Source organism: Homo sapiens, chromosome 4 (assembly GCF_000001405.40).
Source record: "Homo sapiens chromosome 4, GRCh38.p14 Primary Assembly".
Classification (NCBI taxonomy): domain Eukaryota; kingdom Metazoa; phylum Chordata; class Mammalia; order Primates; family Hominidae; genus Homo; species Homo sapiens.
In genome coordinates this window covers 67,275,717-67,289,984 of record NC_000004.12, presented here as the reverse complement: position 1 = coordinate 67,289,984, position 14,268 = coordinate 67,275,717, and the positions used below count along the sequence as shown (strand labels likewise).

Below are 14,268 nucleotides of genomic sequence, written 5' to 3'. Positions count from 1 at the left end.
GTTATTGAATGCAGAGAAAGAGATGAAATTAACGCAGGTAATGAGCAGTAGTTTTACCGTTGGCAAGATTTTAGTTCACTTGGGAAAATTCCAGATGCTCAAAACCCACAATAAGGTAAATCAAAAGCTAGTTTTAGGAAGTGAAAGGCATATAGCGGCAATTTAACATTTATCTAGAGCCAGCATTGCACTTAACATGGTGTGAAGTTGCAGGCAGCTTGGGCATTGGCCTCTGTTCCTAGCTTGTTGTCTAAGAAAAAAGCTTTGGAAGTTGAAATCACTTCATATTTTAATTGGTTCATATGGGCATTTAAAAAGTACATTTAGTTAGGAGGATGCCACTTTTTCTTTAGAGGCTGATGGTTTCTATTTCTCTAGATCTACTCAGGAAGCAACGGGGTAGGCTCATGCCACATGCAACTTAAGTATCATAAGCTAGCTAAGTGCTGTTTTTACATTGAGAGGGGAAACTAATGTTGTAACCATTCTTGCAGTCCTTCCTTCCTTCCCTTCTTCCCTCCTTCCATCTGTTAGCAGCGGTGTATCTGTATAGGTCTGCAGCAACCTCAGTTCTTGCTTCCTCAGAATAAAGAATTTGACTGAGGGGAATAAGGCAGAGTGAGAGACTGAGGCAATTTTTAGAGCAGGAGTGAAAGTTTATTAAAAAGCTTTAGAGCAGGAAGAAAAAGAAGTAAAGTACACTTGGAAGAGGGCTAAGCGAGTGACATGAAAGATCAAGTGCATGGTTTGACCTTTGACTTGGGATCTTACATGTTGGCATGCTTCCTGGGGGTTGCATCCCTTCTCCCCCAATTCTTCCACTGGGGTGCGCTGTCTGCCTGAGCAGTGGTCTGCTGGCACATGTGCAGTGTGCTTACTGAAATGTTGCACATGCTCACTTCAGGCATTTTTCCCTTACCAGTCAAGTGTTCCGAGAAGAAGGTCATGTAACAGTTAAACTCCACCATTTTGCATCTTATTGTGCATGTTTGAGCCCACTCGCCCAAATCCTGAAATCTTATTGGGAAGCTGCTGATCATCAGTTTCAGGTGTTTCTAGCTGTTGGGAGACTGGCTTTCTCTGGTGCTGGTTGTGACCAATTATTATTTGAGAGAGACAGTTAACCCAACTGTCTGACCATTACCTGATGGTCACCTGACATTCCTGGTGGGGGTTGGGGGGAGGGTCTTCTGCCCTGCTTGTGTGTGACTAACTGCCAATTGTAACATATCTACCTTCCACAGTATTTCCTGAGTGTCATTATTATTCTTAGTGCTGGAGATAGAGCAGTGAACAAAGTAGATAAAGCTCCCTTGACTCAGTATTCTAATGGGGGAGACAGACCTTAAATATGAGAAATATAAAAATATACAGTGTATTAGATAGTGACAAAGCACCAAGGAGAAAACTGAAGTAGGGGAGGGAGATAGAAATTGTGTGTATGACTGCAAGTTTCTGATAGAGTGGTCAGGAAGTCCTCACTAAGGAGATGGCATTTGAGTAAAGATCTGAAGCAAGGAAGCAAGCTGTGCAAATTTCTGTGGGAAGAACATTTTAGAAAGAGTGACCACCAGCAAGGGCAAAGGCCTTGAGATAGGAGTGTGCCTGGTGTCTCTGAGGAATGGTAGCAAGCGGGCCAGTGTAAGGAAGGGTGAGTATAGTAGGTGAGGTGAAGCCAGGTAAGAAAGAGGCAACAGATTTCATAGGGCTATAAGGTCTTTGTGATGACTTTAGATTTTACTTTGAGCAAGATGGGAAGTCATTTGAGGGTTCTGAACAGAGGAATCACCCTGGCTGATGTTTTGACAAGAGACTGAAGACAGGTAAGAGCATATGCAGGAATTCTAGTCAGGAGGCTGTTACAGCAATCCAAGCAGATGTCACAGTGGCATGAACCAGGGTGACAGTGGAGGAAGCTGTGAGAATTAGTTGGATTCTGTATACATCTTGAAATTACAGCTAGCAAGATTTGCTAGTGGACTGTGTATGACATAAGAGAAAGTGAGATGTTCAGGATGACTACAAGGTGTTTGGCCTGATACTGAAATGAGGAGATTGTGGGATGAACAAATTTTGGTGAAAGTTCAGTTTTATGTATGTAAACTTTGAGATGTCTAAGAGGCATACAAGTAGAAATATCTAATAGACAGTTGGATATACCAGACTGGTATTCAAAGGAGAGGTCATTAATGGAGACATCAATTTGGTAGTGATCAGCATATAGATGGTATTTATTGCTTTGAAATCAGAAGATAGAAAAGCAAAAATGTGGAAAAACTTAGTTGTCAGATACTCCAAATGTGAAGATTGGGGAAATAATGGTAAGGTAGCTAAGAAGACTTAGGGAAAATATCCAGAGAGGAAAAAGGGAAACCAGGAGAATGCAATGGCCCAGAAACCAAGTGAAGAATTTGTTTTAAAGCAGAAAGACTGACCAACAGTATCAACTGCTGCCAATAGGTCAGCTAAAATGGGGGTCTCAGAATTGTTCATGTGGAGGTCTTTGGTGGCTTTAACAAGAGAAGTATTCGTGGTATAACAGAGGAGATACTTGGTTAGAGAGAAGTAGAGAGAAGGGAAAGAAAAGATTGAATATAGTGAGTACACAGAACTCTTTCGAGAACTTTTACTGTACAGGGAAGACTAGCCAGAGCCAAAAGATGGGTAAAGATAATCTCCCCTCCCCTCCCCTCTCCTCCCCCTCCTACTTTGCCCACCTCTCCCCTCTCCTACTGAGCGGTGACAACCTGCTAGCAGCCCTTGCTCACTCTCGGCACCTCCTCAGACTCAGTGTCCACTCTGGCCGCACTTGAGGAGCCCTTCAGCCCACTGCTGCACTGTGGGATCCCCTCTCTGGGCTGGCCGAGGCTGGAGCCAGCTCCCTCTGCTTAAGGGGAGGTATGGAGGGAGAGGTGCAGGCGGAACCCAGGCTGCACGTGGCCCTCGCGGGCCAGTGCAAGTTTCAGGTGGGCGCAGGCTTGGTGGGCCCTGCATGTTAAGCAGCCGGCCAGTGCCGCGGGCCCTGGGCAGTGAGGGGCTTAGCACCCAGGCCAGCAGTTGCAGAGGGTGCTCCAGGTCCACCAGCACTGCTGATCCACCCGTGCCATGCTTGAATTCTCGCCGGGCCTCAGCCACCTCCCCACAGGGCAGGGCTCAGGACCTGCAGCTGGCCATGCCTGAGTGCCCCCACCCCCGCCGTGGGCTCCCGTGTGGCCCGAGCCTCCATGATGGGTGCCGCCCCCTGCTCTGTGGCACCCAGTCCCATCAACCACCCAAGGGCTGAGGAGTGTGGGCGCATGGTGCTGGACTGGCAGGCAGCTCTGCCTGCAGCCCTGGCAGTGGGATCCGCTAGGTGAAGCCAGCTGGGCTCCTGAGTCAGGTGGGGACTTGGAAAACTTTTATGTCTAGCTGGAGGATTGTATATGTGCCAATCAGCACTCTGTGTCTAGCTCGGGGTTTGTGGATGCACCAAACAGCACTCTGTAGCTAGCTAATCTGGTGGGGACTTGGAGAACTTTTATTTCTAGCTAGAGGATTGTAAATGCACCAATCAGCACTCTGTGTCTAGCTCGGGGTTCGTGGATGCACCAATCAGCACTCTGTATCCAGCTAATCTAGTGGGGACTTGGAGAACTTTTATGTCTAGCTAGAGGATTGTAAGTGCACCAATCAGCACTTTGTGTCTAGCTCAAGGTTTGTAAATGCACCATCAGCACTCTATTTCTTGCTCAGGGATAGTAAATGCACCAATCAGCACCCTGTCAAAATGGACCAATCAGCTCTCTGTAAAATGGACCAATCAGCTCTCTGTAAAATGGACCAATCAGTAGGATGTGGGTGGGGTCAGATAAGGGAAAAAAAGCAGGCTGCGGGAGCCAGAAGCAGCACCCCGCTGGGGTCCCCTTGCACGCTGTGGAAGCTTTGTTGTTTTGCTCTTCGCGATAAATCTTGCTGCTGCTCACTCTTTGGGTCCATGTTGCCATTATGAGCTGTAACACTGTGAAGGTCTGCAGCTTCACTCCTGAAGCCAGTGAGACCATGAACCCACTGGGAGGGATGAACAACTCCGGAAGGGATGAACGAACAACTCCAGACACGCTGCCTTTAAGAGCTGTAACACTCACCTCGAAGGTCTGCAGCTTCACTCCTGAAGCCAGTGAGACCACAAACCCACCAGAAGGAAGAAACTCCAGACATATCTGAACATCTGGAGGAACAAAGTCTGGACACACCATCTTTAAGAACTGTAACACTGACTGTGAGGGTTTGTGGCTTCATTCTTGAAGTCAGCGAGACCAAGAACCCACCAATTCTGGACACATTTTGGCGACCATGAAGAGACTATCACCTGTCGCCAAGTGGTGAGACTATCGCCAAGTGGTGAGACCATCGCCTATTGCTGAGCGGTGAGACTGTCGCCTATTGCCAAGCAGTGAGTACCATCAGACCCCTTTCACTTGCTATTCTGTCCTATTGCATTATATGATGGTTTTTACTCTTGGGGGTATCTGAAACCACTTTGCATTATGAAAGAGCTTTGATGTGTAATAACTAGGTAGAAAAAACAGTTTTGGAGATCCTCAGCTTTTTGCATGTTTGGATCAGAGAAGCATGCTCTGGCAACCTGGAAGGTATGAAGATGTCCCCAACCCCCAAAACCCCACTGCGAGAAAAGACTCCCATGCAGGATGGGCTAATCACAGAATGGGCTGATTGGATTTTGTTTCCTTTGCAATAAAATCATTGCACTGTATTGTTCTGCAGAGTTTCTCTGTTTTGGGATCTAAGTTATGGTATAAAAAATGGGATCCTTAATTTTGGGAGATATGTTTTACCTTCCAGTTGTGCCTGCTTATAAGGCCATAGAAACTGCATGCTTTCCTGGCCCTGTTCCTCCAAAGGCTGCACCCTGAAGTCAATAATCTGGTTAAAGAACTAGCAAATGGAAGATCTTAAAACTACTGGGTCTTCTTCTGTCTGTGTATTTATATGTGATGTGTGTGTGATATGAAAGAGTTTTGATTAATTGGTTTAAAAATAATAAGAGCTTAAATCAAATATTTTCTCAGAAAAATAAAAACTTTAATATTTTTTAGTTCACATGGCTTTAGCAATCTATTAGAAATAAAAACAGTTTTACATGCAACATGTGCAAGGAAAGTAAAATGTGTTTTTGGTAAAAGATTATAAGAAGTCATGGGAATGTGGATTTTTTTAACCTATATTAAAGGGTTAACAGATTGTTTTAAGTTAGATATATTAAAGCTGAAGGTTTGAGCAAGTTGTAGAAGGTTTAGAAAAATTAACCTTGTAAAAGAAATTCCATATGTAAACATATTGGCTAAAAACTGAATAAAGGAGTATTATTCAGTTTTTCCATAAACTGAACATTGGAATAAAAGCAAAATATGTTTTTCTTACACCACTGATCTGCTTCTTAACAAAAAATGTAAAAGGTTATAAAAAAAGATTTATGAGAATCTTATGGTCAGACATTAAAATTGAATAGCTTTGTCTGTAAGGTTTTATTAAGAATTGGGTTTGACATCAATAATGCACTAATGTGGACAGGCACGAAAGCTCATGCCTGTAATCCCAACACGTTGGGAGGCCAAAGCGGGCTGATCACTTGAGGCCAGGAGTTTGAGACCAGCCTTGACAACATGGTGAAAGCTCATCTTTACTAAAAATACAAAAATTAGCCGGGTGTGGTGGTACATGTCATAATCCCAGCTATTTGGGAAGCCGATGTATGAGAACAGTTTGAACCCAGGAGGCGAAGGTTGCAGTGAGCCCCGATTGTGCCACTAGACCCCAGCCTGGGCAACAGAGAGATACTTTGTCTCAAAAAGAAAAATAATAATAATAATAATAATGCAGTAATGTAACAGTAAAATTTGCCTTTCTCTCTTGAACAAGATTTTTATGTTTTATTTAAAAAAGTTTTGTTTGCCTTTTGAATAAACTATAGGAAAAAGAAGAGAAAGAAAAAAGATTGTTTGGAAAGCTAAGTCTTTCCTCTATTAGTAAAGATTTTGCCTCCTTAAAATTTTTAAGTCATCATTTTGACTAAATGAATAATTTACCAATAATTTACGGTGATCTGGGACTTTATTTTTTAATATCAAGTGTTTTAAACCTTTGATATGTGAAAAACTTTCTAAAATTAAATGATAAATTATGTCTTTTTCAGACCTAATTAATCTTTTAAAAGCTAGGTCCCCTAAAGTTCAGAAGAGACATATTGGCTTATTTGGTATAAAAATTATACAGGAAGCATTGTCAAATATGAAATGGTGCTTGGTTTTCTTTGGGCAGTATTTGTATAAATATGTTATTGATATGTGTTCCAAAACTTTCTTAAACTCCTATAATTCTGATGACTTAGTATATGTTATTAAAAACTGTAATTGTTATTCAAAATTGTTGTATGCCACAGGAGTAATCAAAATTTCTAGTCAATTGTAGCTTTAATAGAGGCTACCCTAAGATGTTTTGTCATCCATGGACAGTTGTCCTGTTTTTATCCTCTTCAAAAGGTGGTTTTTAATCAGCTATAGAACTTTCAGGTGCTCTTGAATGCAGGTTTCTGACAACTTTGGAGATTATTGAGAGGTGACAGCATGCTGGCAGCCCTCGCTCACTCTTGGCACCTCCTCAGCCTCAGCGCCCACTGGGGCCATGCTTGAGGAGCCCTTCAGCACACTGCTGCACTGTGGGAATCCCTCTCTGGGCTGGCCAAGGCTAGAGCCAGCTCCCTCTGCTTGTGGGGAGGTGTGGAGGGAGAGGCACAGGCAGGAACCAAGGCTGCACATGGCCCTCATGGGCCAGTGTGAGTTCTGGGTGGGTGCGGGCTTGGTGGGCCCCACACTTGGAGCGGCTGGCAAGAGCCACTGGCCCCGGGCAGTGAGGGGCTCAGCACCTGGGCCAGCAGCTGCGGAGGATGTGCCTGGCCCCCAGCACTGACGGTCTGCCCTTACCATGCTTGAATTCTCGCCGGGCCTTAGCTGCCTCCCCATGGGGCAGGGCTTGGGACCTGCAGCCCGCCATGCCCAAGTCACCCCCCATGGTGGGCTCTTGCATGGCCCGAGCCTCCCCACCAGGCACTGCCCCCTGCTCCATGGTTCCCAGTCCCATCGACCACCCAAGGGCTGAGGAATGCAGGCATGTGGCACAGGACTGGCAGGCAGCTCCGCCCACGGCCCCAGCATGGGATCCACTAGGCGAAGCCAGCTGGGCTCCTGAGTTGGGTGGGGACTTGGAGAACTTTTATGTCTAGCTAAAGGTTTGTAAATGCACCAATCAGCACCCTGTGTTTAGCTCAAGGTTTGTGGATGCACCAATCAGCACTCTGTATCTAGCTAATCTGGTGGGGACTTGGAGAACTTTTATGTCTAGCTAGAAGATTGCAAATGCACCAATCAGCACTCGGTGTCTAGCTCAGGGATTGTAAATGCACCAATCAGCACCCTGTCAAAACGGACCAATTAGCTCTCTGTAAAATGGACCAATCAGCTCTCTATAAAATGGACCAATCAGCAGCATGTGGATGGGATCAGATAAGGGAATAAAAGCAGGATGCCCAAGCCAGCAGCAGCAACCCGCTTGGGTCCCCTTCCACACTGTGGAAGCATTGTTCTTTCACTCTTCATAATAAATCTTGCTGCTGCTCACTCTTTGGGCCCACACTGCCTTTATGAGCTGTAACACTCACCACAAAGGTCTGCAGCTTCAATCCTGAGGCCAATGAGACCACGAACCCACCAGGAGGGATGAACAACTCTGGATGGGAGGAACGAACAGCTTCAGATGCACTGCCTTAAGAGCTGTAACACTCACTGCGAAGGTCTGCAGCTTCACTCCTGAAGCCAGCGAGACCATGAACCCACCAGAAGGAAGAAACTCTGAACACGTCCGAACATCAGAAGGAACAAACTCCAGACATACCATCTTTAAGAGCTGTAACACTCACCTTGAAGGTCCGTGGCTTCATTCTTGAAGTCAGTGAGACCAAGAACCCACCAGTTTCAGACACATTTTGGCAACCATGAAGGTACTATCACCTATTGCCAAGTGGTGAGACTATCACCAAGTGGTGAGACCATCGCCTATCACTGAGCAGTGAGACTACCGCCTATCACCAAGCAGTGAGACTATCACCTATCGCCAAGCAGTGAGAACCATTGGACCCCTTTCACTTGCTATTCTGTCCTATTTTTCCTTAGTATTCAGGGTCTAAATACCAGGCACCTGTCAGCCAGTTAAAAGCGACTAGCGCAGCCGCTGGACTAAAGACACAGGTGTCAGGCTTTCTGGGAAAGGGCTCTCTAACAACCCCTGACTCTTCAGAGTTGGGAGCGTTGGTTTGCCTGGAACCAGCTACCACTTTTGCTGTACTTCTGGGCTGAGCCAAGGGTCGACAGAGGAAAGTCATTCAGCTCCGGGGTCCTGACAACAAGTTGGTTGACCCTGTGGCCATGAGCAGAACTCTCAAAGGCATGTCGCCCAAGCGAGACTCACCCATCTATCCTATCTATCCTGACCTTGCCCCCTGGGTCCTAATGCCTGCCAGACAAACTTCCTCTCACCTCTCTTCTCTGAGGCTAGCCCCAATTCTAAAAACAATTCCTTGTCTCTGGTGCTTTTCTAGTTTCTCTGAAAGAATGATTTCTAGTATAAACTCCAGGGCTCTGTTACCTTCTTTAGGCACCTGGGCTCACCAATCAGAAAGACATAATTTTTGCCCAAAGCCCTGTCATAGGGGGGAACTATCTGGAATTTTAGGATCCCTCCTTAGACTAGCAGGCCTAACAAAAGCTATTCTTGAAGCTAGGATATGGGGAGCCTCAGAAATTCTATCCTTCCTATTCATATAAGTGAGGACAATAGCCATCAGTCTTCCAACTCCAGAGATCACTTCCTTCCCTCAGGGCATGGCCCTCCACTTCATTTTTGGGGCATAACATCTTTATAGGACACAGGCAAGCTCCAAATACTAACAGGAGAATGCTTAGGACTTTAACAGGTTTTTGAGAATGTGTCAGTAAGGGCCACTAAATCTGATTTTTCTCAGTCCTCCTTGTGGTCTAGGAGGACAGGCAAGGGTGCAGGTTTTTGAGAATGTGTCAGTCAGGGCCACTAAATCCGACCTTCCTTGGTCCTCTTTGTGGTCTGGGAGGAAAACTAGTGTTTCTGCTGCTGTGTTGGTGAGCGCAACTATTCCGATCAGCAGGGTCCAGGGATGGTTGCGGGTTCTTGGGCAGGGGTTGTTTCTGCTGCTGCATCAATGAGCACACCTATTCCAATCAGTAGGGTCCAGGGACCATTGTGGGTTCTTGGGCAGGGGTAGAAACAAAACAATCCAAAACTGTGGGCAGTTTTGTCTTTCAGATGGGAAACACTCTGGCATCAACACGCTCATCCTTGAAATGCATCCTAAGCCATTGGGACCAATTTGACCCACAAACCCTGAAAAAGAGGCAGCTCATTTTTTTCTGCACTACAGCCTGGCCCCAGTATTCTCTCTCTGATGGGGAAAAATGGCCACCTGAGGGAAGTATAAATTACAATACTATCCTGCAGCTTGACCTTTTCTGTAAGAGGGAAGGCAAATGGAGCAAAATACTTTATGTCTGAGCTTTCTTTTCATTGAAGGAGAATACACAACTATGCAAAGCTTACAATTTACATCCCACAGGAGGACCTCTCAGCTTACCCCCATATCCTAGCCTCCCTATAGCTCCCCTTCCTATTAATGATAATCCTCCTCTAATCTCCCCTGCCCAGAAGGAAATAAGCAAAGAAATCTCCAAAGCATCAAAAAACCCCAGCTATCAGTTATGTCTCCTTCAAGCTGTAGGGGGAGGGGAATTTGGCCCAACCCAGTACATGCCCCCTTCTCCCTCTCTGATTTAAAGCAGATCAAGACAGACCTGGGGAAGTTTTCAGATGATCCTGATAGGTACATAGATGTCCTACAAGGTCTAGGGCAAACCTTTGACCTCGCTTGGAGAGATGTCATGCTACTGTTAGATCAAACCCTTGCCTTTAATGAAAAGAATGCAGCTTTAGCTGCAGCATGAGAGTTTGGAGATACCTGGTATCTTAGTCAAGTAAATGATATAATGACAGCTGAAGAAAGGGACAGATTCCCTACTGGTCAGCAAGCCATCCCCAGTATGGATCCTCACTGGGACCTTGACTCAGATCATAGGGACTGGAGTTGTAAACATCTGTTGACCTGTGATCTAGAAGGACTAAGGAGAATTAGAGAAAAGCCCATGAATTATTCAATGATGTCCACCATAACTCAGGGAAAGGAAGAAAATCCTTCTGACTTCTTCGAGTGGCTATGGGAGGCCTTAAGAAAATATACTCCCCTGTCACCTGAATCACTCAAAGGTCAATTGATTATAAAAGATAAGTTTATTACCCAATCAGCCACAGATATCAGGAGAAAGTTCCAAAAGTAAGCCCTGGGCCCTGAATAAAATTTGCAGGCATTATTAAACCTGGAAACCATGGTGTTCTATAATAGGAACCAAGAGGAACAGGCCCAAAAGGAAAAGCGAGATCAGAGAAAGGCCGCAGCCTTAGTCATGGCCCTCAGACAAACAAACCTTGGTGTTTCAGAGAGGACAGAGAATGGAGCAGGCCAAGCACCCAGTAGGGCTTGTTATCAGTGTGGTTTACTAGGCACTTTAAAAAGCATTGTCCAATGAGAAACAAGCTGCCCCCTCATCCATGTCCACCATGCTGAGGCAATCACTAAAAGGTGCCCTGCCGTAGAGGATGAAGGTTCTCTGGGTCAGAAGCCCCCAACCAGACAATCCAACAACAGGACTGAGGGTGCCTGGGGCAAGTGCCAGCTCATGTCATCACCCTCACTGTGCCCCGGGTACATTTAACCATTGAGGGCCAGGAAATTGACTTCCTCCAGGACACTGGTGCAGCCTTCTCAGTGTTAATCTCCTGTCCTGGACAACTGTCCTCAAGGTCCGTTACCATCTGAGGAATCCTGGGACAGCCTGTAACCAGGTATTTCTCCCACCTTCTCAGTTGTAATTGGGAGACTTTGCTCTTTTCACATGCCTTTCTTGTTATGCCTGAAAGTCCCACACCCTTATTAGGGAGGGATATATTAGCCAAGGCTGGAGCTATTATCTACATGAATATGGGGAAACAAATTACCCATTTGTTGTCCCCTACTTGAGGAGGGAATCAACCCTGAAGTCTGGGCATTGGAGGGACAATTTGGAAGGGCAAAAAATGCCCGCCCAGTCCAAATCAGGTTAAAAATCCCACCACTTTTCCTTATCAAAGGCAATATCCCTTAAGGCCTGAAGCTCATAAAGGATTACAGGATATTGTTAAACATTTAAAAGCTCAAGGCTTAGCAAGGAAATGTAGCAGTCCCTGCAACACCCCAATTCTGGGAGTACAAAAACTGAATGGTCAGTGGAGACTAGTGCAAGACCTTAGACTCATCAATGAGGCAGTAATTCCTCTATATCCAGTTGTACCCAACCCCTATACCCTGCTTTCTCAAATACCAGAGGAAGCAGAATGGTTCACTCTTCTGGACCTCAAGGATGCCTTCTTCTGTATTCCTCTGCACTCTGACTCCCAGTTTCTCTTTGCCTTGAGGATCCCACAGATCACATGTCTCAACTTACGTGGATGGTCTTTCCCCAAGGGTTTAGGGATAGCCCTCATCTGTTTGGTCAGGCACTGGCCCAAGATCTAGGCCACTTCTCAAGTCCAGGCACTCTGGTCCTTCAATATGTGGTTGATTTACTTTTGGCTACCAGTTTGGAAGCCTCGTGCCAGCAGGCTACTCTAGATCTCTTGAACTTTCTAGCTAATCAAGGGTACAAGGTGTCTTGGTCGAAGGCCCAGCTTTGCCTACAGCAGGTCAGATATCTAGACCTAATCTTAGCCAGAGGGACCAGGGCCCTCAGGAAAGAATGAATACTGCCTATACTTGCTTATCCTCACCCTAAGACATTAAAACAGTTGCAGGGGTTCCTTCGAATTACTGGCTTTTGCTAATGATGGATCTCTGGATACAGCGAGATAGCCAGGCCCCTCTATACCCTAATCAAGGAAACCCAGAGGGCAAATACTCATCTAATAGAATGAGAACCAGAGGCAGAAGTAGCCTTCAAAACCTTAAAGCAGGCCCTAGTACAAGCTCCAGCTTTAAGCCTTCTGACGGGACAAAACTTCTCTTCATACATCATGGAGAGAGCAGGGATAGCTCTTGGAGTCCTTACTCAGATTTGTGGGACAACCCCACAACCAGTGGCATACCTAAGTAAGGAAATTGATGTAGTAGCAAAAGGCTGGCCTCACTGTTTATGGGTAGTTGTGGCAGTGGCCATCTTAGTGTCAGAGGCTATCAAAATAATACAAGGAAAGGATCTCACTCTCTGGACTACTCATGATGTAAATGGCATACTAGGTGCCAAAGGAAGTTTATGGCTATCAGACAACTGCCTACTTAGATACCAGGTGCTACTCCTTGAGGGACCAGTGCTTCAAATACACATGTGTGTGGCCCTCAACCCTGCCACTTTTCTCCCAGAGGATGGGGAACCAATCGAGCATGACTGCCAACAAATTATAGTCCAGACTTATGCCGCCTGAGATGATCTCTTAGAAGTCCCCTTAGCTAATCCTGACCTTAACGTATATACTGATGAAAGTTCATTTGTGGAGAATGGGATATGAAGGGCAGGTTATGCCATAGTTAGTGATGTAACCATACTTGAAAGTAAGCCTCTTCCCCCAGAGACAAGTGCCCAGTTAGCAGAACTAGTGGCACTTACCAGAGCCTTAGAACTGGGAAAGGGAAAAAGAATAAATGTGTATACAGATAGCAAGTATGCTTATCTAATCCTACATGCCCATACTGCAATATGGAAAGAAAGGGAGTTCCTAACCTCTGGGGGAAACCCCATTAAATACCACAAGGAAATTATAGAGTTATTGCACACAGTGCAAAAACCCAAGGAGGTGGCAGTCTTACACTGCCAAAGCCATCAGAAAGGGGAAGGAGAGGGGAGAACAGCAGCACAAGCGGCTGGCAGAGGCAGTCAGAAAGAGAGAGACAAAGAGAGAAAGAAAGAGAAAGAGATAAAAAGTCAAAGAAAAAAGACAGAGAGGAAGAGACAGACAAAGAGGGAGTCAGAAAGAGAGAAAGAGAGAGACAAAGGAGAAGTCAAAGAGAGAGATAGAAGTAGTAAAGAAAAAATAGTGTACCCTATTCCTTTAAAAGCCAGGGTAAATTTCTAAATGTCTACCCAGCCAAGGCATATTCTTATGTGGAACATTGACCTATATCTGCCTACCCGCTAACTGGACAAGCACCTGCACCTTAGTCTTTCTAAGTCCCAACATTAACATTGCCCCAGGAAATCAGACCTTATCAGTACCCCTCAAAGTTCAAGTCTGTCAGTGCAGAGCCATACAACTAATACCTCTACTTATAGGGTTAGGAATGGCTACTGCTACAGGAACCAGAATAGCCAGTTTATCTACTTCATTATCCTACTACCACACACTGTCAAAGGATTTCTCAGACAGTTGGCAAGAAATAACGAAATCTATCCTTACTTTATATCCCGCATAGACTATTTGGCAGCAGTGACTCTCCAAAACTGCCGAGGCCTAGACTTCCTTATTGTTGAGAAAGGAGGACTCAGCACCTTCTTAGGGGAAGAGTGTTGTTTTTACACTAACCAGTCAGGGATAGTATGAGATGCTACCCAGCATTTACAGGAAAAGGTTTCTGAAATCAGACACTGCCTTTCAAACTCTTATACCAACCTCTGGAGTTGGGCAACATGGCTTCTCCCTTTCTAGGTCCCATGGCAGCCATCTTGCTGTTACTCACCTTTGGGTTCTGTATTTTTAACCTTCTTGTCAAATTTGTTTCCTCTAGAATCAGGACCATCAAGCTACAGATGGTCTTACAAATGGAACCCCAAATGAGTTCAACTAACGACTTCTACCAAAGACCCTTGGACCAACCCACTGTCAGTTTCACTGGCCTAGAGATCTCCCCTCTGGAGGACACTACAACTGCAGGGCCCCTTCATTGCCCCTATCCAGCAGGAAGTAGCTAGAGTGGTCATCGGCCAAATTCCCAACAGCAGTTGGGGTGTCCTGTTTAGAGGAGGGATTGAGAGGTGACAGCATGCTGGCAGCCCTTGCTCAATCTCGGTGCCTCCTCAGCCTCAGTGCCCACTCTGGCCATTCTTGAGG

General features: G+C 45.6%; 1 annotated feature.

Moving 5' to 3' along the window:
• Positions 680 to 974: an enhancer, noted in NCBI's record as "tiled region #9439; HepG2 Activating non-DNase unmatched - State 13:Ctcf, and K562 Activating DNase unmatched - State 12:CtcfO". NCBI's record gives its function as "activates a minimal TATA promoter and a strong SV40 promoter by Sharpr-MPRA in HepG2 and K562 cells {active_cell/tissue: HepG2 | K562}" and the evidence as "EXISTENCE:reporter gene assay evidence [ECO:0000049][PMID:27701403]".